This window comes from Homo sapiens, chromosome 1 (assembly GCF_000001405.40).
Source record: "Homo sapiens chromosome 1, GRCh38.p14 Primary Assembly".
In the NCBI taxonomy this organism is placed as follows: Eukaryota; Metazoa; Chordata; class Mammalia; order Primates; family Hominidae; genus Homo; species Homo sapiens.
The window spans coordinates 9,006,654-9,034,442 of record NC_000001.11 but is presented as its reverse complement, the minus strand read 5'-3'; the positions used below and the strand labels follow the sequence as shown (position 1 = coordinate 9,034,442).

General features: G+C 51.7%; 1 protein-coding gene across 3 annotated transcripts in view, besides 3 other annotated features; it reads left to right on the top strand.

Moving 5' to 3' along the window:
• Positions 1–8,019: 8,019 nt before the first annotated feature.
• SLC2A7 (solute carrier family 2 member 7) overlaps positions 8,020–27,789 on the top strand; it is a 33,890-nt gene continuing 14,120 nt past the window's right edge. For 2 of the 3 annotated variants that reach the window (XM_011540824.3, NM_207420.3), the window contains exons 1-10: positions 8,020–8,148; positions 9,369–9,467; positions 11,365–11,525; positions 15,110–15,234; positions 16,068–16,220; positions 19,201–19,326; positions 19,575–19,762; positions 20,808–20,918; positions 24,199–24,300; positions 27,058–27,133. In XM_011540824.3, the coding sequence (XP_011539126.1) occupies positions 8,098–8,148; positions 9,369–9,467; positions 11,365–11,525; positions 15,110–15,234; positions 16,068–16,220; positions 19,201–19,326; positions 19,575–19,762; positions 20,808–20,918; positions 24,199–24,300; positions 27,058–27,133 (1,192 nt within the window). In that variant the 5' untranslated portion in view covers positions 8,020–8,097. The other variant, XM_011540825.3, reaches the window with a different exon arrangement.
• Positions 23,369–23,428: a silencer, noted in NCBI's record as "silent region_207". NCBI's record gives its function as "represses an Ori minimal core promoter by ATAC-STARR-seq in GM12878 lymphoblastoid cells {active_cell/tissue: GM12878}" and the evidence as "EXISTENCE:reporter gene assay evidence [ECO:0000049][PMID:35858748]".
• Positions 25,685–26,185: an enhancer, noted in NCBI's record as "H3K4me1 hESC enhancer chr1:9068317-9068817 (GRCh37/hg19 assembly coordinates)". NCBI's record gives its function as "activates a minimal SCP1, AML or CMV promoter by ChIP-STARR-seq in primed H9 embryonic stem cells {active_cell/tissue: H9 hESC(primed)}" and the evidence as "EXISTENCE:reporter gene assay evidence [ECO:0000049][PMID:30033119]".
• Positions 26,186–26,686: an enhancer, noted in NCBI's record as "H3K4me1 hESC enhancer chr1:9067816-9068316 (GRCh37/hg19 assembly coordinates)". NCBI's record gives its function as "activates a minimal SCP1, AML or CMV promoter by ChIP-STARR-seq in primed H9 embryonic stem cells {active_cell/tissue: H9 hESC(primed)}" and the evidence as "EXISTENCE:reporter gene assay evidence [ECO:0000049][PMID:30033119]".

Here is a 27,789-nt window from a genome sequence, read left to right as displayed (position 1 = left end):
AGTTTCCAGGAGCACCTGGCATGAATGTGAAGGGGTGGGGCTTGGATAGGGAGACCAGCTGGTAAATAATGAGGACCCAGCAAAGCCAGCAGTAGTCAGGGCCGAATGTGAGGGAGCATTCAGAGAGTCAGTAGGATTTGGGATCCACTCAGCAGTGAGCAGTCGGGCGTCCCTGCCAGGTTTCTAATATGGGCCAATGGGGAATGGCTGGAAGAGCTGGGTGGCAGGTTTTAGGAGAAGGTCATATACTTTTTGGACACATTGAGATGGAGGAGATCATGGGACACACAGAAGATATCCAGAAGGAAGGTGGCATGTGGCTCTGGAACTCAGGGGAGCAGGGACATAAGTTTGGGGAAACCATATATCTGTAAGCACCTACTGTGTGCCAGGCATGGCTCCAGGCCCTGGGGCCAGGGTTCTGAGTGAGAGTTGCAGTGAAGAAAAGTAGATTAGCCCAAGGGGTGACAGGTGGAGAAGCAGCTGAACAGAGAGGGGAGTGGGGCTGGCTGGGGGGCAGCAGATGCAAATGTCTTGTGGGAGAGGGTTGGCCATGGTTCAGGGAACGATGGGAGGCAAGTGATGCTGCGGCAGAAAGGGGGTTGGGGAGGAGGAAGGGGGCACTAGGTGCCTGGGGGCACTGTGCAGACACTCAGTTGGCCCCCAGGAGCATCAGAGATTCTATTCTGAATGTGTCGGAAGGCCACTGGCTCACTTGAGCCAGAGAGTATCCTGATCTGATTTGCAATTTAAGAAATCATTCCAGCTGCTCTGGAGAAGAGTCTGAAGGAGCCCACGAGACAGCAAGGAAATCAGATCCTTACAAAAGATTCGAGAATAGGTTAAAACCTCGCATTTGCATAAGATTGCCCCAGGTTTGCCAACTGAGAGGATGAAAGGTGAGAGGTGGGCTGGGTGTGCTGGCTCATGCCTGGAATCTCAGCACTTAGGGAGGTTGAGGTGGGAGGATTACTTAAGGCCATGAGTTCGAGACCAGCCTGGGCAACACAGTGAGAAACCCCCACCCCCCACCATGTCTACAAAAAAAGTAAAAATAAAAATAATTAACTGAATGTGGTGATGCACACCTGTAGTCCCAGCAACACGGGTGTCTGAGGCAGGAGGATCGCTTGTGCCTAGAAGTCATGATCACACCAGTGCACTTCAGCCTGGGCAACAGAGCAAGACCTTGTCTCTAATAAATAAATAAATAAATAAATAACTTTTTTTTTTAAGGTGGGAGATGGAGCACCATCCAACAAGGGGCACAGGAAAGCCAGCAGAGAGGACTGAGCTGCCAAGCTCTGCCATTTGCTGAGACTAGAAAAAGAGTTCCCCTTGGATTCAATGACTCAGTGACCTCAGGGAGTGCTGTCAGGGGTAGTGTGGGGGCAGAAGGTAGACTGCTAGGGTGAAGACTACAACTGAGGCAGAAAAGAAAGAATGGGAGCTCTAGTTATTGTTCACTCTTCCTTCCTCCCTTTGCTATTCCTGCTTGAGTGGGTGTTATGTCACTTACAGAACACGTACACATATATAACATAAAAAATAAGTAGACATAGGCCGGGCGTGGTGGCTCACGCCTGTAATCCCAGCACTTTGGGAGGCTGAGGTGGGTGGATCATAAGGTCAGGAGATCGAGACCATCCTGGCTAGCAAGGTGAAACCCCGTCTCTACTAAAAATACAAGAATTAGCTGGGCATGGTGGCGGCACCTGTAGTCCCAGCTACTCGGGAGGCTGAGGCAGGAGAATGGCACGAACCAGGGAGGTGGAGCTTGCAGTGAGCTGAGAGTGTGCCACTGCACTCCAGCCTGGGCAACAGAGTGAGACTCTGTCTCAAAAAAAAAATTTTTTTTAAATAAGTAGACATATATTAGAGGTTTGTAGGCAACATTTTCTTACTGATGGGGAGGCATGATTTTAAAAGTTTGGAGACCACTGGGAGCCAAGCTGCCTGCAAAGATCGGTGAAAGCTGAGGCGAAATGACGCTTTGGGAGAATTAGACAATGTCAGGGGATGGTGATGGCAGCAGCCACTCCAGACGGCTGCCGCTGCCATCACACCAGCTGCAGCAGGGAGGTGCAGCCCAGGCTGCACATTCCATGGAGCAAACAGGAGCTCCCCGGGTGCCACTGCAGCCACCCAAACTGCAGCTATAGACCCTAACCTTCTGCTCCATGGAGGAGGCAGGAGGCCCCCACCGACCCCACCTCCCAATGCAGCTGCAGCCGCCCAAACCATGGCTACAGACTCAGGCATCCCCACACTCTTGGGGACCCAGGAAGGTCCCGCTGCCCTCACAGGCTTGCAAGTGCCTGCTTCTGCTGCCTGGCTTCTCCCTGCTGTCAGCGCCCACTTTGATCTCTGTGGCACTGCCAGGGCTGCATGCTCCAGAGCCAGCAGGAGCTAGGGACAAGCAGGAGCCCCGCCCCTTCTGAGTTCATGGGGGTGGGAGCTCCCCAGGTGCAGCTGCAGCCTCCACCTGCGCCCCCCACCAGATGCAGGCCCTAGGCGTCTCTGCAGTCTGCACCTTCAGGGGCCCGGCAAGGCCTTCCCACCCCTCCCCTCTGTCCCCACAGACTTGGGGATGTCTCCTCCCACTGCCTGGCTTCTCTCCACTCCTGGCACCCACTCCAGTCTCGGAGAGGGGTTGGGGCTGAGCCTGGGCACTGTCACAGCTCAGCTGGGTGTGCATACACCCTGGGAAGTGCTGACATGCCAGCCCCCTGCTGCCTTGGCCCCCTCTGGAATTTGGGCACAGATGAGTGTAAGAGGGGAAGCTTAAGGGGGGCTGAGGGTGGCTCGGTGCTGGCCTACAGGTGCCCCTTACTGCAAGCAACACGGGTGCCACAGACAGCTGTGGGAGGCAGACAGGTTCCTGAGCAGAAGTGGACAGGTCCCTGTAAGACCCCACCTTCAGGCCAGGGAGGGCCTAAAGGCTGGCGGCTGGGCTGCCAGTCCTCCAGACTGGACTGGGGACTTGTGATGCCTTTTCTGGGCCCACCTATGGCCCCCCATGGACCAATAGGCATGTACTTCCTCCCCTTTGAGGTCCATAAAAGCCCCAGACTCAGCCAGAACAGGGCAGAGGATGGAAAGACGACAGGATGACCAGCTGCAGAGAGGAGCTACCCTCTCCAGGGCCTCCTCTCTACTGAGAGCTGAACACTCGATGGGACAATCTGCCTACAGAGAGGAGCTACCTACTGTGGGCCTCCTCTGAGCTGTTCTAACACTCAATAAAGCTCCTCTTCATCTTGTTCACCCTCCACTTGTCTGCATACCTCATTCTTCCTGGATGCGGGACAAGAACTCAGGCAAAGGCTGCCACCGGCCACAGAGGTTTCTGGCCAGAAAATCAACACTTCAAAGATCAGATAACAATGCTAAGTCCCTGTGATGGGATCAAGGTCAGGACACTTGGCAGGTGAGAGATGGAGCTGAAGAGGGTTCAGCTGAAGAAGGTTCAGACCCGTTTGCTCACCACTGTGTCCACCATGCCTGGAACAGTGACTGGCACAGAGTAGGAATTCATTCAGTGCTTTTTGAATGAATGAGTCTTGGTAAAGAGGATTTTAAATGGTTGACAGCAGAGTAAGAAAGAGTGGATCTGGGGAGGAGTTGTCAGCCCCCAGGCGACATGTTCATAAGCCAAATTAGGCAGTTGGAAGGTAGGTTTGACCAGCGTTTTTCACACTTCCAGATGTCACATACCAAAATTTGGTAGACTAACATCGGGCTGCCTCTTTCCATTTTGCAAATAAAAACATTTTTTAAAAACTGGCCAGGTGCAGTGGCTCATGTCTGTAATCCCAGCAGGATTGCTTGAGCCCAGGAATTTGAGACCAGCCTGAGCAGCAAAGTGAGACTGTGTCTCTAATTTGCATATATATATATATATAATTTTTAAAAAATGAACTCCCATCACCAAATTGAGGAAACAATGTTTTAAATAAAGGGCATTTTACTATCTAGACAGGATGTAATCACAGAATAAATTTCAGTCTTTTAAATTGAATAGATTTTTCTTTGTGAAAATCTCACTCCATTGCCCTGTGTCCTGGTATTGCTTAGTGGCTTAACCACCAGGACAGAAACATCAGGAACAAGGGCAGGGCAGTGCATGGTGCACTGGCCATTTCCATTACAGAAGGGCGCTCAGAAAGGAGAGCTGAAGTTCCAATCTGGAATGTTAGTTAGACTGAGTCTTGCCCCCTTCAATCTGCTTTCTCCAGGATTATTTTTTAGTTCCTGCAGGAAGAATGAGAAAGCAGGTAGTTGGCATCCTGACACTCTCATCTGAACATTTCCTTTCCCCTCCTACTACTCTGCAGTGAATTGAGTGCTTTTTTTCTCCCTTTTTCATGTGTTTGCTTTTTTTTTTTTTTAAGACAGGGTCTCACTCCGTCACCCAGGCTAGAGTGCAACGGCACTATCTCAGCAATCTGCAAACTCCACCACTCAGGCTCAAGTGATCCTCCCCCTTCAGCTTCCCTAGTAGCTGGGACTACAGACACATGCCACCATACCCAGCTAATTTTTGTATTTTTTGTAGAGGCAGGGTTTCACCATGTTGCACAGGCTGGTCTTGAGCTCCTGAACTTAAGTGATCCACCAGTCTCGGCCTCCCAAAGTGTTAGGATTACCAGCATGAGCCACCACACCTGGCCCTAACAGTGCTGTTTGAGGGGCTGCTCTTGTCATCCTACATTCTGCACAGCACTGGGACATGCAAGTGATACATACATGGCATCTTCTGTCTTTAGGAATTTACAGTGTAGCCAGGAAGATAAACACCATGCATGCCTTTTCCCTCCTTGCACCCTTGAACTCCAAGTGGGTCACCAGAGCCATCTGTGAAAATTTGGCTAGGGTCCCTGCTCTTACCAGATGTCTTAGTTCATTTTGTGTTGCTATAACAGAATACCACAGAGTAGGCAATTTATAAGCAACAGAAGTGTGTTTGGCTCATGATTCTGGAGGCTGAAGTCCAAGATTGAGGAGCTGCATCTGGTGAGGACCTTCCTGCTGTGTCGTAACATGGCAGATTCCTTTATTTTAGCCCAGTGAGACCCATGTCAGACTTATGACACGTAGACCCCTAAGATGATAAATATGTGTTGTTTTAAGCCACTACGTTTTTGGTAATTTGTTACAAAAGCCATAGAAAACTAATATAGAGATTTTGGTATTGGGAAATGGAGTGCTGCTGTTAATACCTAAATAGCTAAAAGTATGTAAATGGCTTTAGCATTGCACAATGAGAAGAGGCTGGGAGAATTTTTAGAAGCATGCTATAAAAAGCCTAGATTACCTTGAACAGACTGTTAGTAAAAATATGAATGTTAATGACCCTGCTGGTGAGGACTCAGAAAGGAGGGAGGAGCAGAGTGGAGAAAATGCCTATCCCTTTAGAGAATACCTACAACAGGCAGGGTGCAGAGGCTCACACCTCTAACACCAGTACTTTGGGAAGCCGCAGTGGACAGATCATTTGAGGCCAGGAGTTCAACGCCAGCCTGGCCAACATGCTGAAACTCCATCTCTATTGAAAATACATGGTCAGGCAAGGTGGCTCACACCTGTAATCCCAGCATTTTGGGAAGCCGAGGAGGGTGGATCACCTGAGGTCAGGAATTTGAGACCAGCCTGGCCTATATTATAAAATCTCCTCTCTACCAAAAATATGAAAGTTAGCCAGGCATAGTGGCACACGCCTGTAGTCCCAGCTACTCAGGAGGCTGAGGCAGAACACTTGAACCCAGGAGGCGGAGGTTGCAGTGAACCAAGGCATATGAGACCACATGCCTCTCACCCCCAAGAGCGCCTAGCCCTGTGCCACCTCCTCCTCCTGGCCACTGCACTCCAGCCTGGGCAATAGAGTGAGACTCTGTCTAAAAAACAAAAAAAATGCAAAAATTAGCTGGGCATGGTGGGGCACGCCTGTAATCCCAGCTACTTGGGAGGCCGAGGCATGAGGATTGCTTGAACACTGGAGGCCGGAAGCGACAGTCAGCCATGACCACGCCACTGCACTCCAGCCTGGGCAACACAGCAACACTTTGTCTCAAAAAAAAAAAAAAAGAGAGAGAGAGAGAAAATACCTACAACATAGTCAGGAGCAGGAGCAGGATAAACATAAATAAGGACCTTTCATTCTCTCAGTCTTGTCATTTACCCACCTGTTACCACCCATGGGCAAACACATTTTCCCCCAGGTATCCTTTTTTTTTTTTTTTTTTTTTTTGAAACAGGTTCTCGCTCTATCACCCAGGCTGGAGTGCAGTGGTGTGATCATGCCTCACTGCAGCCTCAGCCTCCTGTTTTCCAGTGATCCTCCTACCTCAGCCTCCCAAGTAGCTGGGACCACGGGGGCATGCCACCATGCCCAGCTGATTTTTGTATTTTTGGTAGAGATGAGGTTTCACCATGTTGCCCTGGCTGGTCTTGAACTCCTGAGCTCAAGCAATCCTCCACCCACTCAGCCTCTCATTGTGCTGTGCTTATAGGCATGAACCACCGCACCCTGGCCTTCCCCAGGTATACTATGTGTATTCTGCTTTGATCACTTCTCTTAAAGGTCATGTTAATTAAAAAACATGTTAATGTTTCCATGTTCCCACATTTCATAATTATCCTTTGAAACAGAAGTCTGGCATTCCAATCAATTAGTTACTCCTAATTTATTCAATCATTCTCTACTTTAAAAAAAAAATGCTAGTAGAAATGATTCTGAAATAAGCACCTTTGTCCAATATTTTATTGACTTATTTAACACTATTTAGTGTAATTAGAAATAATAACTGTGTTTTTCTGAAAGTGTTTAATTTGTTCTTTCCCCCAAATGGACAATTAGTCCAAATGCACAAGAGGAGGCATATATGAAGAACCTAGGAACACACAGAAAGGAACAGCAAACACTGGGATCTACTTCCGGCTGGAGGGTGGGAGGAGGGAGAGGAGCAGCAAACAAACACTGGGAAGTGGGCTTAATACCTGGGTGATGAAATAATCTGTACAACAAACCCCCGTGGCACGAGTTTACCTATGTAACAAACCTTCACATATACCCTGAACCTAAAATAAAAGTTAAAAAAAAAAAAAAAGCCAGGTGCGGTGGCTCATGCCTGTAAGCCCAGCACTTTGGGAGGCCAAGGCAGGCGGATCACTAGAGGTCAGGAGTTCTAGACCAGCCTGGCCAACATGGTGAAACCTCATCTCTACTAAAAACACACAAAAAAAGGCTGGGTACGGTGGCTCACGCCTGTAATCCCAGCACTTTGGGAGGCCGAGGCGGGCAGATCATGAAGTCAGGAGATCCAGGCCATCCTGGCTAACACGGTGAAACCCCGTCTCTACTAAAAATACAAAAAAAAAATTAGCCAGGCATGGTGGCAGGCACCTGTGGTCCCAGCTACTCAGGAGGCTGAGACAGGAGAATGGCGTGAACCCGGGAGGCAGAGCTTGCAGTGAGCTGAGATTGCGCCACCGCACTCCAGCCTGGGCGACAAAGCGAGACTCCACCTCAAAAAAAAAAAAAAAAAAAAAAAAAAGCTGGGTGTGGCGGCACGTGCCTATAATCCCGGCTACTTGGGAAGCTAAGGCAGGAGAATAGCTTGAGCCCAGGAAGCCGAGGTTGCAGTGAGCTGAGATTGCGCCACTGCACTCCAGCCTGGGCAACAAAGGAAGACCCTGTCTCAAAAAAAAAAGAGGCATACATGGAAAAATGACACAGAAAAAGCATCCTAGATCCAGGTCACAGCCTCACTGGGTCTCTGAAAGTCCTCATTTCTGCGGACCAATGTCAGGCAATGTTTTTTCTCTCTCCTTGGTGCAACTAGGGAGCTTTCGGCTTGGGGCTTGGTGGGTGCAAAGACGAAATTCGTGCTGTGTATGATTTGTGCACTGGCAACGTGTGTCTTATCAACATTTCCAAGGAGAATTTGCTCCTGGGGAAAGTCAGCAGGGTCCAGAGAGCAAAAGGATCATAAAGCCAGGTAGGCCCAGGGGAGAAACAGCCGGTCTTTAGGTGGCTGGCGCAGAGCAGGTGTCACTTGGGAGGTAGAGCACACCTGTTCTCCCACCTGAACAAGGATGGAGAACAAAGAGGCGGGAACCCCTCCACCCATTCCATCCAGGGAGGGGGTAAGTGCCAAGACTAGGAACCTGTCACTGTCCCTCTCCCACCAGCTGTGCAGACCTGTGGAGGGAGGTGAAGGCCGTGGAATGCTTTTAGCAAGGAGCGGGTAGCGTGCTTCCTTTTTCTTCAGGATAACCAGGCCTGGGAGAGCCATGTGGAGAAGCAGCTATGCTCAAACCTCATGGCTCAGACATGGGCCAGGGTGGCTGAGCGAATGCTGGGAGAGCGGATGGTGCTGGAGATGCCTCTCTCCCTTCCACCCCTGCTCCCCTCCGCTTCCCCTACCCTTAAAGATCGAGGGGAGATGGCCTCTGAAGAATGCCCGAATCCTGCCCTTCTGTCTGGTTGTTCCTGGATGTGCAGAGCTACGGGCTGTGGGCAGCCAGGCAGCTAAGTGTGAGGGTTGGGGTGAGGACATGTGGAACAGGAGTGAGGGGTGGAGGGGGCAGTGGGGAGGGGGCATGCACCAGGGCCTTGGCTCTAGGACATGGTCAGAGACCCTGCCCACCTGCTCCTCAGACTTTGGCCCTCAGGCCAGTTCCCCTCCAAGCTGCCCTGGGTGTTGTGGCAACCATGGAAAGCCTGGCCCTGAGCACAGGCGACTGCCGGGATTTTCCTAAGGGCCTGTTCTAGAGGCAGAGGCAAGCAATGAGTCCCTCTGTCTGGGATGCTCTTCCCCCCGATGCTTACACAGCTGCTCCCTCTCATCCATTCTGGTCCCGGCTCAAAGGGCGCCTGCTCAGAGAGGCCTTCCCTGCCCTGCCCACCCTACTGAACACAGTCTCTCATTCCTCACAGGCTGCTACCCCACCCATCACCCTATTTTATTGTCCTCACAGCATTCTAGCTATTTGGAATTATCATCTTTGTCTTTCTTGGACGGGGTGGGCTCCCCTCACTAGAAAGTGAGCTTCTTAAAGGCAGTGCTTTGCTGGGCCTTTTTCCTAAAGCATCCCCTACTTCACACTTGGCCTCCAGGGCCTAGTACAGGGCCAGGCACGTAGCAGATGCTCAGATACATCCTCAAGGAGGGAATGAATGCGTGCAGAGACCTCAGCCCCCAAAAGCCCCAGCCCTGCGCCACCTCCTCCTCTTTTCCGGGGGCACGGCCTGGGATCCCCCATCCCCCACTTCCAGCCCAGGCTGGAGGGAGGTGGAGGCCCAGCCACTCCACTTCCCGAGGCCCAAGCCCACAGCGTCCCGACCTTGGACTTGTCTCCTACAGCGGCTCCAGCCGACGCTGTTGCTGGCGACACTGAGCGCGGCCTTTGGCTCAGCCTTCCAGTACGGCTACAACCTCTCTGTGGTCAACACGCCGCACAAGGTGGGCACAAGGTGGGCACAAGGTGGGCCGGGCAGCAGCTGACCGGGGTCGTGGGTGGAAGGTAGCCGCCATCTTCCTCCGTGGAGGCTGCCATCTTGCCTGTAGGAGGCACCATCTTGCCTTTGGGAGCAGCCAGCTTGCCCTAGTACCCTGGATGCTCACCCCTGGAGACCAGGGCGTGGCAGGAGGTGTTTCCCCCTGGAGTGTCGTCCTTTCCGGGCACATTGGGATGCTGGGGGACCTGTTCCATTTTCCAGCCCAGTCTTTTTGGGCCTCAGGTCCCACTGCTCTCACCTTGGGTAGGCCCCTTGTTGATTGGAAAGAGAATGGGGTCAAAGATTGAACTCTGTGGCATTTAGGGATTGGGGCAAAGGGGAAAAAAGGAAAAAGAGAAGGGGCCCTTGCAGGTGTGGAAGACCCTGAGGGCAGAATGTCCCCAAAACCTAGTAAAGGATGAGAGTCAAGGAGGGAGGGACAGCCTGTGCTGATGAGCTCAGATGAGGACTGAGAACTGACTACAGGCTTGACCTTGGTATACGTCTATGCTTACGCTTGTATACATATATTAGCATGTCTACAGACACTGTATTACATTTGTTTGTGTATTACGTATATATACATATATTAGTGTACTTACAATTATTACCATGGATGGAACCTCCGAGTCAAGCAATGTACCATCACTTAATCACATTTAATGCTAACACATTCTTTATAAGGTACATCTTGTTTCCATAACTGATGAGGAAATTAAGGTTTCTGGAGGTTCTGTAACTTGCCTGAAGTCACACAATTAGTAAAAATATTTCCTGGGCTGGGAGCGGTGGCTCACGCCTGCAATCCCAGCACTTTGGGAGGCTGAGGTGGGTGGATCACCTGATCACCTGAAATCAGGAGTTCAAGACCAGCCTGGCCAACATGGTGAAACCTCATCTCTACTAAAAATCCAAAAATTAGCCAGGCATGGTGGCGGGTATCTGTAATTCCAGCTACTCGGGAGGCTGAGACAGGAGAATCACTTGAACCCGGGAATCAGAGGTTGCAGTGAGCCAAGATCATGCCACTGCACTCCAGCCTGGGTGACAGAGTGAGACTTCATCTCAAAAAAAAAAAAAAAAAAAAAAAAAAAAAAAAAAAGAAGAAGAATATTTCCTATGGTGCCTCTGGCAGAGTAAGTCGTAAGTCTCTCAAAAGTAAAATTTTTTTTTTCTTTTCTTTTCTCTTCTTTTTTAATAGAGACAGGGTCTCCCTATGTTGGCCAGGTTGCTCTTGAACCCTTGGCCTCAAGCAATCCTCCCGCCTCGGCCTCCCAAAGTGCCAGGATTACAGGTGTGAGCCATTCCCAGCCAAAAGTAAATTTTTTTTTTTTGAGACGGAGTCTCGCTCTGTTGCCCAGGCTGGAGTGCAGTGCCGCAATCTCGGCTCACTGCAAGCTCCACCTCCCAGGTTCACGCCATTCTCCTGCCTCAGCCTCCTGAGTAGCTGGGACTACAGGCGCCCGCCACCACGCCCAGCTAATTTTTTGTATTTTTAGTAGAAACAGGGTTTCACTGTGTTAGCCAGGGTGGTCTCGATCTCCTGACTTCATGATCTGCCCGCCTCAACCTCCCAAAGTGCCGGGATTACGGGCGTGAGCCACTGCGTCCGGCCAAAAGTAAATTTTTTAACAGTGATTTTGTAACAATCTTTTTGTTCAGCCTAGTTTCTCATTTCAACCCATCATATAGTAGATTTTTTGATTCTCAGGTAATAGTAGGGAATCAGTGGGTTTAACTGTGTCTTATAGGTGTTAGCAGAAAAACCTCTCTGTACAATGACAAGTGGCCACTGAGAACACTTTCTCATTTCTCATGAACTGCCCAATATTCTTAGCTGTGGATGGGGCAATGTTTTCCAGGTCTTCAAGTCATTTTACAACGAAACCTACTTTGAGCGACACGCAACATTCATGGACGGGAAGCTCATGCTGCTTCTATGGTCTTGCACCGTCTCCATGTTTCCTCTGGGCGGCCTGTTGGGGTCATTGCTCGTGGGCCTGCTGGTTGATAGCTGCGGCAGGTAAACAGAAGGTGCACTGCTCCCACTTAAAATTCATGCTAGTAAGCCACACTGTCTCTGGGCATTTGTGCACCTGGTGGGGAGACGTGTGACCCTGAAAATCAGGAGATCTGAAGTCTAGTCTCCGCTTGGCCACAGTCATCATGACCTTAAACCAGTCCCTAAATGTCTCTGGGATTTCTTTCCTAGGTAGTTGCATGGGAAAAGCATTCCCTTCCGTCACCTGCCACAGAGGTGGTGCAGCCTTTGAGATCAAGGTTCTTGACGGTGCTTAGCTTAGTGCCTTGTAAGCACTTCCAGTGGGTGTTCAGTAAATGCTCGTTTATCAGGTTTCATTCCGGGGTCAGGTGACCATGGCTCCAAGTTCTAAGCGCTGCAGCCTCTCCCCGCGTGTCTTTGCCAGAGTTTGTTACTGAGGCTGGGGTCAGGCTGAGTCACGCTGCCGGCCACTGTCTCATAGATACGAGATTATTTGGAAATGAAGACTGGGCAGGTCTTTGAACTTTGCTTGGCTTACACAGATTCACTAATCATTCTTCCTAAGCCCAGGTGCTCCAAAGACGTGACTCCACAGATAAGGAAAGATGCACAGGCCAAGGTTCCCAGGAGGGCAAAGCGTGAGCCTGGGCTCAGGATGAGGCCTGGTGGCATTCCCTTAGGTCAGCCCACTCATTCGGACTCACAGTTACACTTGGGCATGGTGTGCCAGGTTAGACAGCTTGCAGGAGTGACTGGAAGGCCCTCTAGTGAAAAGTCACTCAAAAAACCAGAGCAATTCCATTTTCAGGCATAGAAAAAAATAGCGCTGATTGAAAATTAATTATCTATTAATTAATGCAAGATTCATAGGACCTCTTCTTGCATATACTTGATCGACAATTAATTTGCCATACATTATGCGCTGGAAAGAAGAAACAATTCACTCTAATGTAACTATACCATAATTCAAGCTTTTTTTTTTGGTCATCCAGACTGTGATGTTCTCAGCCAGACCAAGAGTGTTTGGACTGTTCTGGAAGCCCAGTCTTGGCCTCCACTTCCTTGTCTGAACCCATTTTCCAGATGAAGAGCCTGAGTCCAGGAATGTGGTGGTGCCAGCCTTGCCCAGTGGGGTCCTGACAGCCCCAGCCTCCCCTTATAGTCATCAGGAAGGGCTGGGAGTCCAGAGAAGGGTGGGAACGTGTCGGGGCTGCTTAGTCTTTTTGGGCCTCCTGGCTGGCTGACCCTCCCCGTGATGGGGGATGTGCTCTGGTGGCTGCTCCTGAAGGCTGTGGCAGCCCCAGGGAGAGAAAAGTGGCCTGAGAACACCAGCCTGCTTGTCTGTGGACTCCCTGGCCAGTCCTCAGTGTTGCCGACCTGGGATATCTTCATAGAGTCCTCACCACCCACTCCCTGCTCTTGGCACCAGAACCTCGCCTTCCTGGCTTCCTCACTGAGTGCACTCACTCAGGGTCCCAGCGGTCCTCAAAGATGTGTGCAAAGTGTGAGACAATCACAAAGGTAGTCCTGGGGCTGCTGACAGCTTCATCACCCCCAGACCTGTAGGGGTGTGAGGAGGGAGCACCTCCACCTGGAGGTGGAGAGAGAAGAAATAAAAAATGAATACCAGGCTGGGCACGGGGGCTCGCGCCAGTAATCCCAGCACTTTGGGAGGCTGAGGTGAGCCAATCACTTCAGGCTAAGAGTTCGAGACCAGCCAGGCCAACATGGTGAAACTCCATCTCTACTAAAAATACAAAAATTAGCTGGGCATGGTGGCGCATGCCTGTAATCCCAGCTACTTGGGAAGCTGAGGCAAGAGAATTGCTTGAACCCGGGAGGCGGAGTGTATTAGTCCATTTTCACGCTGCTGATAAAGACATACCCGAGACTAGGCAATTTACAAAAGAAAGAGGTTTAATGGACTCACAGTTCCACGTGGCTGGGAAAGCCTCACAATCATGGCGGAAGGCAAAGGAGGGGCAAGTTACATCTTCCATGAATGGCAGCAGGCAAAGAGAGAGCTTGTGCAGAAATACTCTTCCTTATAAAACCATCAGACCTGGTGAGACTTATTCACTATCACGAGAACAGCACTGGGAAGACCTGCCACCAGGTCCCTCCCACACATGTGGGAATTTAAGATGAGATTTGGGTGAGGACACAGCCAAACCATATCACGGAGGTTTCAGTGAGCCAAGATCCCACCATTGCACTCTAGCCTGGGCGACAGAGCAAGACTCCATCTCAAAAAAAAAAAAAAGAGAGAATATCAGGATGCACCAGCCAGCAACCCCACAGCTCGGGAGCTCTCTGCCCTCTTTCTGGTCCACTGCCCATTCTTCTCCTGTGCAAAACCCAAGCCAAAGGCGGGGGGGTGGGGGGGGGCACAGGAGCCATTGCTGCAAGTTGGCAGGGGACCTAGAGCACAGAGTCAAGCAGATGAGTGGATCATGAAGGCAGCAGGACGCACCTGGCATAGCGCTGTTTTTCAGGCACTCCCTCTCCTTCTCAGGCTTGTGGTTTTTCAGCCTTGGAAGGGATCTTAGAAATCATGTAGTCCCATTCTGCACCCCACTGATTGTAAGAATTCCCTGTTCAACGTTCCTGACAGTCATCGTGTCTAGTCTAGAAACCACCAGCGACAGCTTGAATACCACCAGTGATGGGAAGCTCTCTACCTCCTGGGACAGCCCATTCTTTGTTCCTGCCCTCCCCTTTGCAGGCAGCTCCGATCGTTAGAATGCTCCCCTCCCCAGCTTCTACCCCCACTGACCCCAAGTCTTCCTTCCTGGGACGTCTGCCCATTCGCCCCTTCTTCCCATCTGTCTTAATCAGTTCAGGCTGCTACAACCACAGACTTAAACAACAGACATTTATCTTCTCACAGTTCTGCAGGATAGAAATTCAAGATCAAGGTACCAGCAGATCTGTTTCCTGGTGAGGGCCTTCTTTCTGGCTTGCAGACAGCTTTCTTCTGGCTGTGTCTTTTTTCTTTTTCTTTTTCTTTTTTTTGAGTTGGAGTCTTGCTCTGTGGCTCTGGATGGAGTGCAGTGGCACGATCTCGGCTCACTGCAACCTCTGCCTCCCGGATTCAAGTGATTCTCCTGCCTCAGCCTCCCGAGTAGCTGAGATTACAGGCATGTGCCACCACGCCTGGCTGACTTTTGTTTCTTTAGTAGAGATGGGATTTCACCATGTTAGCCAGGCTGGTCTCGAACTCCAGACCTCAAGTGATCCGCCCACCTCAGCCTCCCAAAGTGCTGGGTTTATAGGCTTGATCCACCATGCCCAGCCTGGCTGTGTCTTCACGGGGCAGAAAAAGAGAGTGGTTTCTTGTATGTCTCTTCCTATCCCATCGTGAGGGCCCCACATGACCTATTCACCTCCCAGAGGTCCCTCCTGCTGATCCCATCACACTGGGGTTAAGGCCTTCAACATAGGAATTTGGGGGACACCATTCAGTCCACGGCCCCCTGCTTCAGCTCTTTCTCGGGCACATTCCCCGCGCCTCTGTAGTGACTGCCCGCAGAATAGGAGCTGGTGTTGGGAGGGCTTCCGCGGCCTCCACGCACCCCTGCCCTCTGGGCTCACTGTCTTTGCAGAAAGGGGACCCTGCTGATCAACAACATCTTTGCCATCATCCCCGCCATCCTGATGGGAGTCAGCAAAGTGGCCAAGGCTTTTGAGCTGATCGTCTTTTCCCGAGTGGTGCTGGGAGTCTGTGCAGGTACCTGGGGCCCAGGCTCCGGCTCAGCCTTGGGGGAAGGGTCTGTTTGGCCAAGGCTGGAAGCAGGAGCAGATGAGGTGTCTGCCTGGCTCTGCCTCTTTTCATTTCAAGACGTCCTCCCATCTGCATCCCCAGGCCCTTGCAAGCCTCATGCTTGTTTTTCTTAATTAATTAATTAGTTAATCTTTTTTTAGAGACAGAGCCTCACTGTGTTGCCCAGGCTGATCTCAAACTCCTGGGCTCAAGTGATCCTCCTGTCTCGGCCTCCCAAAGTCCTGGGATTACAGGTATGAGCCACTGTACCTGGCCAAGCCTCACGCTTACTAGCCCCTTCCCTTTATTTATGGATCTTTAGAAACACTTTCACCTTGAAGTACAAATAACCAATAAGGTTTTACAAGGTATCGTCCCAGGAAGATGGACAATTTAAACTCAGTAGTTTCTTAACTACAGTAATTTCTTCTATGAATAAAAGTTAGACAAGCAATCTGTGCTTTAGAAAAATCAGAAAATAGACCAAAGCAAAAGTTTTATCGTTAAGTCCCAGGGACACACGGAGGCCTAGGCTCCTCCCCTGTAACAAGCGGCCCAGCCCGGTGGCTAGAAAGGAAAAGGTCTCCTCATCACATCCTGGTGACTCCCCCGTGGGGGCTGAGGATTCTGGAGGGATTTTGGTGTAAGTCCAAACTAAACAGTCGAGGTTGGCCGAGCTCCATCTCCACGGAGGGGCTGACAGCATGGAGAAGCCCCGGGATTAGGAAACGGAATTGAATTGCATCTCAGATTCTGCGTTTGCGGTTTGCCTGCCCTGATTTCTGCTGTGCCCAAACCAGGCATCTCCTACAGCGCCCTTCCCATGTACCTGGGAGAACTGGCCCCCAAGAACCTGAGAGGCATGGTGGGAACAATGACCGAGGTTTTCGTCATCGTTGGAGTCTTCCTAGCACAGATCTTCAGCCTCCAGGCCATCTTGGGCAACCCGGCAGGTAACCGGCAGCCGCAGAGGTCACGCTAGGTCCAGTCTCTCGTTCGGCTGTGCCAGGTGTTACTGACGGATCGAGTCAGATGAGACCCGAGAGATGATTTTAGGGTCAGGTGTTGGGCAGTGTGGTGGGCAAAGGGATGGGTGACGTGGTCGGGGCTGTTTTGGTGAGTGATGGCGACAAATCGTGCTTAGGAATGGGAATCGGGCTCTGAGGCAGGTAGGGGTTCTGCTATAAAGGGAAGGAGAGAAGTTGGGGAAGTGAGGTCGAGAGAAGAGGTTTCTTTCAAGCCATGAAAAGTGTCAGCATAATTTGGCTGCCATAGGAATGGTCCAGTACAGAGGGAAGTCAATGCAGGGCAAGCAGGTTCACAGCCACCGTCTCTGTCACTGGGTGGCTGTTTTCTTCTGGCGGCCTCTATCTTCCCAGTGAATTAGGAGGCAAGGCCATTGCCTGAGAGCGAGTGGGGGTCGTGGTGGAGATTTAGGAGAGAGGAGTGTGGCCCTCTGAAGGTCTGCTGAAAAATCACTGACACGAAGCCGATTGATTAATAGAAAAGGCATGCAAACATATTTAACCAGATTCGCAGAGCCTTCAGAGTGAAGAGCCAGAGATAGAGGGGAAATTGTCCGTTTTAGTCCAGGCTCAACAGAGTACGGACAGCCGAGTAGAAATAGCATTGGACAAAAAGGGTCTGATCCGACGTAAATGGACTGAGTGGGGAGACCCCGCGAGGCCTGTCTGTGTAGGTCCTTCTTGGCCTCTGTACAGCCTTCCTTCTGGGTGTGGGGCAGGACCCTCTGCAGAATAGGGGGCCTTTTATGACCTACAGCCAACAGCATTGGTCAGAGATTTTCCTTCTGGCTAGTTTTGTTGTTGTTGTTGTTGTTTTGTTGTTGTTGTTTTGAGGCAGGGTCTCACCCTGTCACCCAGGCTGGAGTGCAATGGCGCGATCTCAGCTCACTGCAACTTCCGCTTCCCGGGTTCAAGCAGTTCTCCTGCCTCAGCCTCCTGAGTAGCTGGGATTACAAGCGAGCGCCACCACGCCCAGCTAATTTTGTATTTTTAGTAAAGATAGGATTTCTCCATGTTGGCCAGGATGGTCTCGAACTCCTGACCTCAGGTGATCCACCCGTATGGCCAGTTTTTACCTAGAATATTTTTAGGTTTTATGGAACTGGTTTTGGGGAAAGGGGATCCGGTTTGTATGACCTGCCCAGGAATCCTGACTAGGGATGCTAGTTTCTAGGGTTAGCCTCGGGGGGAGTGGGACTGAGACAGGGGGACAGGAGAAGGTCAGAGAAAAACTTGCTTCTGAGGGCGCTGCTGAGGCCTTCATTTTGGGGTATTGTTTTAAAGCCCCAACAGGAGAAAGTGAGAGACACTCGTGGAGGGTGGAGGGAAAGAGGATAAGAGGATGGACCACCAGGCGGGCCTGAATGAATGCGGCCAGCAATAAAAGCCCAGGAACCCAGTGGGGTTTCTCCTTTTTCTCTCTTTTTCTCTTTCCCTTCTTTCCTTTTTGTTTTCCTTCCTTCCTTCCTCTCTCCTTTCCTTCCTTCCTTCCTTCCTTCCTCTCTCTCTTCTTCCCTCCCTCCCTCCTTCCCTTCCTTCCTTCCTTCCTGGTCTCACTCTGTCACCCAGGCTGGAGTGCAGTGGTGCGATCATAGCTCACTGCAGCCTTGACTTCCCAGGCTCAAGCGATCCTCCCACTTCAGCTTCCCAAGTTGCTGGGACTACAGGCACACACCACCATGCCCAGCTCTTTTTTTCTATTTTTGTTATAGAGACAAGGGTCTCACTATGTTGTCCAGGCTGATCTGTAACTCCTGGGCTCAAGTAATCCTCCTGCCTCCGCCTCCCAAAGTGAAGGGATTACAGGCATGAGCCACTATGCCCGGCCGGGGTTTTTTACAGACATTTCTGAATGACCCAAATTCTGCACATATTCCTTAATGGGTGGATTTATGTCTTTGTGGTCCCCACAGTACCCTGAAGAGGTTCAGAGACTCAGAACCTGGAGGGTGCTCCATGAAAGATCGTTAACAGTAATGATTCCTAAACTCCCAGAGCCGCTGAGTATTAAATCGTCAATTAGAGAGACATCAGCTGGGGAATCCACCGTGCATGACGCTTAGCACCTGTGCCTCATTCAGCCCTCGCCACTTCTTGCCTGAGGCTCAGAGACATTAAAGAACTTGTCAGCTGGGTGCAGTGGCTCATGCCCAGCATTTTGGGAGGCCAAGGCAGGAGGATCATTTGAGCCCAAGAGTTCACGACCAGCCTGGGCAACATAGCAAGACTCTGTCTCTACTAAAAATTAAAAAAAAAAAAATGAGCCAGGTGCGGTAATGCACGCGTGTAGTTCCAGCCACTCAGGAAGCTGTGGTGGGAGGATCACATGAGCCTGGGAGATTGAGGTTGCAGTGGGCTATGATCGCACCATTGCACTTCGGCTTGGCTGATAGAGCTAGACTCTGTCTCAAAAAAAAAAAAAAAAAAGAACTTGTCCACTTCCCACCATACCAGCAGGGGTGGGAGGCAGACGGAGACCCTGTTCTCTTAGTGGAATCTCAGTTCCCCTCCTTAGGCCAAGCCATCCAGAAGGAGCTCACTCAGACCCAGCGCAGGGTCCAGGCCCTGCCCTACCATGGCCCTAATGAGGCAGAGATTATCCCCTTTCCTGCTATAAAAGTAGGAACAAGACTGAGCTCATTTTCTCCGGGGTTCAAGTGTTTAAATCATTGCCTATTCTTTAGAGAAACGGTGTTCTTCCTGCAAAATAATTAATGACGTGTAAATTTGTATAACTCTCATGATTCCCTCCGTTTTGAATGTGGAAACCATTTGTAGGAGTACCCTGGTGAGAATGAAGTCCCCACAGTCCTTGGTTCACACATAGGAGCGTGACCTTCCGAGCACAGTGGTAGGTGGGCCAGGGGGTGCCCAGGCCCCGGGATCCTGAGTCCTTGGCTCCTTGCAGGCTGGCCGGTGCTTCTGGCGCTCACAGGGGTGCCCGCCCTGCTGCAGCTGCTGACCCTGCCCTTCTTCCCCGAAAGCCCCCGCTACTCCCTGATTCAGAAAGGAGATGAAGCCACAGCGCGACAAGGTATGAAGTCGCCGGCTACTCTCCCAGGCCCTGCCCACCCCGGGGGCCAGGCAGAGACACGGTCAGGGCCACAGTCAGGGTCGCCATGGGTCAGGGGTGAGAGCTGGGAGCTGAACGGGGTGGGGGGGTGGCAACTGGGGCACAACCAAGGTCAGGTCAGGGAATGGTGAGCTCAGGGCCAGCATGGGGGCTTGGGGCCCAGCCTGCAGGGAGACGGCCCTCTGAGCGGGTGGTTCTGCTTTCCGCAGCTCTGAGGAGGCTGAGAGGCCACACGGACATGGAGGCCGAGCTGGAGGACATGCGTGCGGAGGCCCGGGCCGAGCGCGCCGAGGGCCACCTGTCTGTGCTGCACCTCTGTGCCCTGCGGTCCCTGCGCTGGCAGCTCCTCTCCATCATCGTGCTCATGGCCGGCCAGCAGCTGTCGGGCATCAATGCGGTATGTGGGACGGTGGCCAGGCAGGGAGACAGATGAAGCAGACCCAGGCTTCATGGATAGCAACACACAGTTCCACCCACAGAGGCCTGGCCTGGCAGTGGGGCCAGGATCAGTCCAGGCAGAGCCAGATGTCAGGAAGAAACCTCACTCCTCTCTGCCTCCGTGCTCTGCCTCTCCCCACATGCCAGCTTCATTTTTCTCTGTTTCCCAGTCCCCAGAAGGAATGCCTCCTGCCAATAGTCCTTTCCCTTCTATACAAGAGACCAGCTAGACTGAGATGAGCTGAGGTCTCCTGGGTCCAAGCTCAGGTCACCAGGCCTGGGTTGGTAGGCCCAGCCTGTGTCAGGAGCCCATCTTGGGCCCACTTGTCTGTGATGTTTGTGGCATCGCTTTCTGCGACCGTGGCTCTTTGGCTGTAACTGTATCTAACCATGGTGTGAGGGAAGGGTGGAGATCTGACAGAAGCTAAAACACTGGAGATTGGGTGGGTGACCCAGTTGCTCCAGTGGCGTGTCGGGAAGAGGTGGCCTTGGCCTCAGGGATTCATGGATGTTTAACCAGTGATCGTGGGAGGGTAGATGGCCCAGGTGGGAGCCACCAGATGTGGAATAGCACACGTGGCCTTTCAAAGGGCTGTTTGTGCCAATGTCCTTGGCATGGGGCCAGAAGACAGACTCAACTTGCGGTTGGCTTGGCCCAGAGTGAGAGGTAAGAAGTCATTCTTTGGGATCTGAGCTCTTAGAGTAACTGAATGATGGAGGGAAAAGTGCTCTTGGAGGTCGTATGGTCTGACTTCCATTTTATAGACGCCAAACCTGAGGCCCAGAGAGGGAGGAGCTGCGACCCTGGATTCCAGGGCAGCGCCGGGCTCCACCCTGGTGTCCCGACTCCAGGTCAGGCCTCTTTTTCCCACCACCTGCTACCCTCTTCCTGTCCCAGGGTCCCCAACCCAGGCTTGCAGAACTGTGTGTGGCTTGAGTTGAGAAAGTTAAGCCAGCGTCCTGGGTCTTCCGGCCTGTCCTGACAGCCCTGTGTTTTTGTTTAGATCAACTACTATGCGGACACCATCTACACATCTGCGGGCGTGGAGGCCGCTCACTCCCAATATGTAACGGTGGGCTCTGGCGTCGTCAACATAGTGATGACCATCACCTCGGTGAGTGAGCAGGAGGCATCCTTCCTGCTGGAGGGTCTCTGGCCAGGTGCCGCCAGGCAGACAGGAGCCCCACAGAGTGAACTGAGTGCTGGTGGCCCTGGTCCTGGGGTCATTTAAGGGACATGGACTTTAGGATGCACACATACTAACTACCTGCATGACTTTGACCAGAAAACTCAAAATTCCTTCAGAGCCGGCCGGGCGCGGCGGCTCACACTTGTAATCCCAGCACTTCGGAAGGCCAAGGCGAGCAGATCACTTGAGGTCAGGGAGTTTGAGACCAGCCTGGCCAACATGATGAAACCCAGTCTCTACTAAAAATACAAAAAAATTAGCCAGGTGTGGTGGCACACACTTGTAATCCCAGCACTTTGGGAGACTGAGGCAGGTGGATGACTTGAGGTCAGGAGTTTGAGACCAGCCTGGTCAACATGGTGAAACCCCATCTCTATTAAAAAATACAAAAATGAGCTGGGCATGGTGGTGGGTACCTGTAATGTCAGCTACTTGGGAGGCCGAGTCAGGAGAATCACTTGAACTTGGGAGGTGGAGATTGCAGTGAGCAGGGAGATGGCACCACTGCACTCCAGCCTGGGTGACAAGAGTGAGACTCTGTCTCAAAAACAACAACAACAACAAAGAAAAACCTTCAGATCCAAGTTTCTTCCTTTGTAAAAATCATTATGGTGACTGCAATACATGGTATTCAAATGCAGGTACCCCTTTTTGTTGGTGCAGTTTCATGATTTCAGAGTTTAGTATTTAAAGTCTGAGCTACTTACGCTTTGATATATATGTTGCATGAAAAAGGGTCAGATGATCATGGCATTCCTTTCCCTAGACCATTTTCAAGTTATCTCCTGATTATTTTGATTCCTATTTCTTGAGTTGCCAGTGATGGTAAACATTTTCAAGAAAGTTATCTATTATTTGTATTTTCCCCAGAGCTAGTTTAAGTTCCAGTAAACTCTCAGAAGGTTTAGAAGGGCAGGGAGGGAGAAGTTAAGGAAAACAGTGGGAGAGGCTGACAGGAAAATTAAGGGAAGAGGACAGAGGTCCCCAGGCTGAAGTCTCAACCCCTTCCTCCTGCTGGATTTCTGTGGCCCCATCCCCAGTTTTCCCCTGGGGCAGGATCCATCCTTTATCCTCAGAGTCCTCCTCCTTGGGGATAAATGACCATAACTAGGACCTGCTTCACCATCATCCTACCTGGAGCAACCCAAGCCAGAAAAATACCCTTTCCCTCTCCCTGGAGGAACAGCATCTGGGAACCAGGCATACAGCAGGAAATTGACAGTATTTCCCTGATTTTTGGGGTGCACTTCGCTCCCATCCTGAATGGCAGTGATAGTCTGTCTGTTGGGATGTTGGGAGGACATGAGTCAGCTAACATGAGTCAAGGGGCTGTACAGGGCCGGCTCTGGTCAGCCATTAGGGATGGAGTAGAATGGAAATGGTATTAGAAGTAGAAAAGGAGCCAGGTGTGGTGGCTCATGCCTGTAATTCCTGCACTTTGGGAGGTTGAGGCGGGCGGATCACCTGACGTCAGGAGTTCGAGACCAGCCTGGCCAACATGGTGAAACCCCATCTGTACTGAAAATACAAAAATTAGCCGGGCGTGATAGCACATGCCTGTAATCCCAGCTACTCGGGAGACTGAGGCAGGAGAATTGCTTGTACCCGGGAGGCGGAGGTTGCAGTGAGCCACGGTTGCACCACAGCACTCCAGCCTGGGTGACAGAGTGAGACTCCACCAAAAAAAAAAAAAAAAAAAAAAAGAAGAAGAAGAAGAAGTAGAAAAGGAAGGAAGAAGTCGAAAGAATGCTGATCACAGGGAGTGTGGCCTGGGCTTGGTTGTTGGAGAAGGAGCTGGCTGAGTGGAGGGGTCAGTCCATCAGGTGGAAAAGTGGAGAGATGAGGGGCCCCGCATGATGTGAGCCCAGATTCCAGATGGCCTCAATGTCGAGTGGAGCCCCAGAGAATAGGAGGGGGCTATTTTTATTCTTATTCTTTTTATTTATTTATTTTTTAAACATAGAGACAGGGTCTTACTATGTTGACCCGGCTGGTTTCGAACTCCTGAGCTCAATCAATCCTCCTGTCTCGGCCTCCCAAAGCGCTGAGATTACAGGTGTGAGCCACTGTGCCCAGCCCAGGGGCTATTTTTAAATGTAGGTTTTATTCTTATTCAGGTATGGTGAGGCCAACAGATCAGGAGGTGGCTACTGCTGGAAAGACAGTTTGTTCCTCACAGATCCCATGAGGAGGGTGCGGTCCACGCCATTCCGGGCCTGCGGGGAAGCCCCAGGGTTGGTCAGGAAGCAGAGGCATGAAGGGGAAGTGTGAGGATGAACCTTTACTGTGGTTCCCACAGAAAGGAATGGGTGAGGCAGAGCGAGCAGGTTTAGGAGTAGCTGGTGTGAATAATTTCCTCAGGGTCGGGGACCACAGGGGCTGTGCCAGCTGTCTGGCCCCTGGCCCCCAGGGTGTTAGGGCAGGTGATGCTGGCCTTGCGTGTGAAAGCTCAGCAAAGGAAGACCTGGGGTGTGGGCCTGCATTGTTGGTTTGCAGATGAAAGAGGCACTCACTCCCAGACAGCGGTTTGTTTGCTATCAGTGGGGTGGGAAGGGCAGTCCCTCCAGGGCCATAAAGGTCCCAAGATGTCAAAGCATCAAACACAGAAACTAGAAAATGTGGTTATTCTAGTGGGTAGCAAGGGGTGCAGGGAGCCAAGATCCAGGAGGTCTGGAAATGAATGACCAGAACAAGGAAGGGTGGTGGTGAAGAGCATGAATGTCTGACCCATGTCAAATCAGCGGCCTGCATCCCACATGCAGGCAGCAGGGGTAAGAAAGGGGCACCTAAAAGGTGACGCACGGTGGCTCACGCCTGTAATCCCAGCACTTTGGGAGGCCGAGGCAGGAGGATCACTTGAGGCCAGGAGTTCGAGACCAGCCTGGCCAACATGGTGAAACCTCGTCTCTACGAGAAATACAAAACTTAGCCGGGCATGGTGGCAGGTGCCTGTAATCCCAGCTACTTGGGAGCTGAGGTAGGAGAATCACTTGAACCTGGGAGGCAGAGGTTGCAGTGAGCTGAGATCGCACCACTGCACTCCAGCCTGGGCAGCAAGAGCAAAACTCCGTTTAAAAAAAAAGAAAGAAAGACAAAAGAAAGAAAGGGGCACCTAAGAGGGGCCCACAAAAGGAAGTGGAGGCTCGGCCCAAGAACCGTGGGCGCCAGGCCAAGGCGGCTTCTCACTGTCCCCCTTCCCCTCCAGGCTGTCCTTGTGGAGCGGCTGGGACGGCGGCACCTCCTGCTGGCCGGCTACGGCATCTGCGGCTCTGCCTGCCTGGTGCTGACGGTGGTGCTCCTATTCCAGGTCTGACCTCATTTCCTGCCCCCTGGGTGGGGAGTCATGGGGAGGGTGGGAGGTCCCCTGACTGAACCGGGCCCGCTGCACCAAGTGGTTGGTTCTGAGTCCCACTGATGGCATGCATCCTGCCTGGAAAAGTACTTTGCAATGCCCCATCCTGAAGTGAATGTCACAGATGGCTTCATTTACCTACACCTGCACATGCAAATAAGTAACCGGATAGATGGTCCAGCTGTCATGGGAAAGAGAAACAAGGAGGACAGTTTGCAATAAAATATGTGCTTCAATGCGTAAATGCAAGGATGCCACCGCATTAGAAAACATCTATGGGCGGTGAACAGGTGTGGGTTAAGGAAAGACCAGAAGTCACCCCATTCGAGAGGTAGAAGGAGGCTGAGCACAGTGGCTCACTCCTGCAATCCTAGCACTTTGGGAGGCCAAGGCAGGAGGACCCATTGAGCCCAGGAGCTCAAGACCAGTCTGAACAACATGGTGAGACCCCATCTCTACAAAAAATACAAAACGTTTTCTGGGTGTGGTGGTGTGCACCTGTAGTCCCAGCTACTCAGGAAGCTGAGGTGGGAGGATCACCTGAGCCTGGGAGGTCAAGGCTGCAGTGAGCCATGATCGCACCATTGTACTCCAGCCTGGGGGACAGTGAGACCCTGTCTCAAAAAAGAAAAAACAAAACAAAACTACGAATCATTTTTCAGTAAGACTAAAACACAGCAGACCACCCAAACAAGAAGTACATCATTTTAATTTGCAGTGTTCTCAGCCTGTATGTATTATCCACGTTCTACGGAAGTGATGAAAATACGTGGTGTGTCATGATATAAAATCTCTAAAAAGCAACCAGCATTCTGTGTCTCCGAGGCAGCCTCTTTGCTGTTGCTTGTGCAGGAACGGCAGCACTGTCCTGAGCCCTTTCAAATGGAAAATATATCAGCAACGCAATTGCACATGAGTACAAGAATGTGTGAGGAGCTCATTCTGTCATGTAGAGCCAAGATCTTTGCTCTTTTCCTTCTTTTCCAAGCTGCCCTCTCTGCAATGACTTGTCCTTAACCACCAGAGAGTGCAGAGAGCTCCATGTGGGAAAGAGCTGGGGGATTCAGGGAATGACCAGGAGGCCAGGGCCTGCGGGGAAAGCAAGGCCTGGCGACGAACAGTGTTAGTGATGCTCATAAATCAATTAAAGTTTCCCTCGGAAAGAACTTTCTTCTTTAATTTTAAAACCAGTATAAGTTCTCAGCCAGACGCAGTGGCTCACACCTGTAATCCCAGCACTTTGGGAAGCCAAAGCGGGTGGATCACCTGAGGTCAGGAGTTCTAGAGCAGCCTGACCACGTGGTGAAACCCCGTCTCTATTAAAAATACAAAATTTAGTCGGGTGTGGTGGCGTGTGCCTGTAATCCCAGTTACTCGGGAGGCTGAGGCAGGAGAATCACTTGAACTCAGGAGGCAGAGGTTGCAGTGAGCCAAGATCACAGCACTGCTCCAGCCTGGGTGACAGAGCGAGATTCTGTCTAAAAAAAAAAAAAACCAATATAAGTTCTTAGCAGAACCTTTAGGGATTCTAGGAAGTGAAAAGAGGTGAGCACGACTGAGCGCCACCTGCAGAGACCACCGCCAGTGACACTTCTGAAACCTAGGGGCATCCCCGGTGGCTCTTTCACTCCTTCTGTCCAACCAGGGGCTCTGCCTGAAAATGCAGCAGCAGCTGCTCGCTTCACACCGGGTCCAGGGCGGCCCCACCAACCCAGCCAGCCTCGCTTTTGCTTGAAGTGTTGAATGGCCCCAATCCTCCTGCCTTCTCTTCTTGTTGAAAATGAATCAGATCTTGTTGCTTCTCTGCTTGGAAGCTCCCAGTGCCTCCCCTCCCACCTCGCCATCCAGCTCTGCTGCCAACTTGTCCCTTGAGGCCGTCTCATAACTGTGACTACAGGGTTCCCTGGGAAGTTCATCTGGGGGCACCCGGTTAGTTTGGCTGAAGTCCGTTGACCCGGTTTTGCATTGGCTGTTCTCTCGGCAGTTGGGAGCAGAGATGGTGGTCTGCCAGCTCCACGGGTCCGGGGGTCCTAGGAGTCTCCAGAGAATGGTAGAGAAAGTCCGGACCTCAGCTCACTCATGTTGACTGGGTGACTTCAGCCACTGCTTGATCCCTGAGGGACTAAGGTTCCTCATGGTCTGTATTCAGGGCCCTCTGTGCTCTGCTTCCACAATTGTGGAACTGAAACAATCATATAAGCCGGGCGTGGTGGCGCACGCCTCTAGTCCCAGCTACAGGAGGCGGAGGCAGGGGAATCTTGAACCCGGGAGGCGGAGGCTGCAGTGAGCCAAGACTGTGCCACTGCACTTCAGCCTGGGCGACAGAGCGAGACTCTGTCTCAAAAAAAAAAAAAAAGAAAGAATCGTAGAGTCACTCAGAGGGCAGAGGAGTATCACAAAGATCAGATGAGTTAATATTTGTGATTTGTAAAGTGCAGAGAATGGCACCTGGCAGGAAAATAACTCAAAGGTAGATGCCCCTCGTTCTCCATGACGCTCATCAGGTGAGGCTGGAGGGAGCCCTGTGGGAGGCTACAAGGCCTGGTTCTCACTGGCCTTCCTCTCTTGCCCACAGAGCCCTCAAGGTCCATGGAGGTGCCCAGACATCTAGGTGCAGCTCCTCCCTGGGGCAGGAAGGTGGGACCCGCAGGTGGACCCCCCCGCACGTGGGGCTCCTGGCCTCAGCCCAGACAGCCCTGCCTCTCCCCACAGAACAGGGTCCCCGAGCTGTCCTACCTCGGCATCATCTGTGTCTTTGCCTACATCGCGGGACATTCCATTGGGCCCAGTGAGTACCTGCACGCCTCCCTCGCCCCGGCCATCCTGGTCCATTCCTGGGCCTGACACACAGTCAGTGCTCGACACATATTTGCTGAGTGAATGGACGTCCTTGGTCCCCGTGCTCACGCAGATCCCACACGTTCTTAGTTCTCAGCCTTGATGGCACTCCAGGCCATGTGCATTCATTCAACCAGCGCCAGCCAGGCCAGCGCCCCACTGATCATCTGTGGCTCCCAGGGGGGCCCAGACTCAGGTCTGGCACCCAACAAGGACATGAGCTTTTGCAGAGAGGGAGCTTATGCCAGTCAGACACCCCTGGGGCACCTTGGTTTACATCCACACCCTCCAGACACTCACTTGAGCCTCCAAGCCCACAGCACACCCAAGGCTCAACTGCCTTCTATCCCCGCTGACTGCCAGCTACAGTCCCTTATTACACTGTCCCCAATGTCCTGTTGCCAGTGGCTTCGGGCCTCCACCTGGGCCCACCTGTTGGGCAGCCTCTGAGACTCCAGACTCCTTCCCTAGTGTGTCCTGAGAATTGAACCTCCTTCTCCCTGCCTGGGAAAAGACACCCCTGACTGTGAAGACTCTAATAACATTCCCTGAAGAATGTTCATTTTGAAAGCACTGTCCATAAACCAAAATGAAGGTATTTAATTC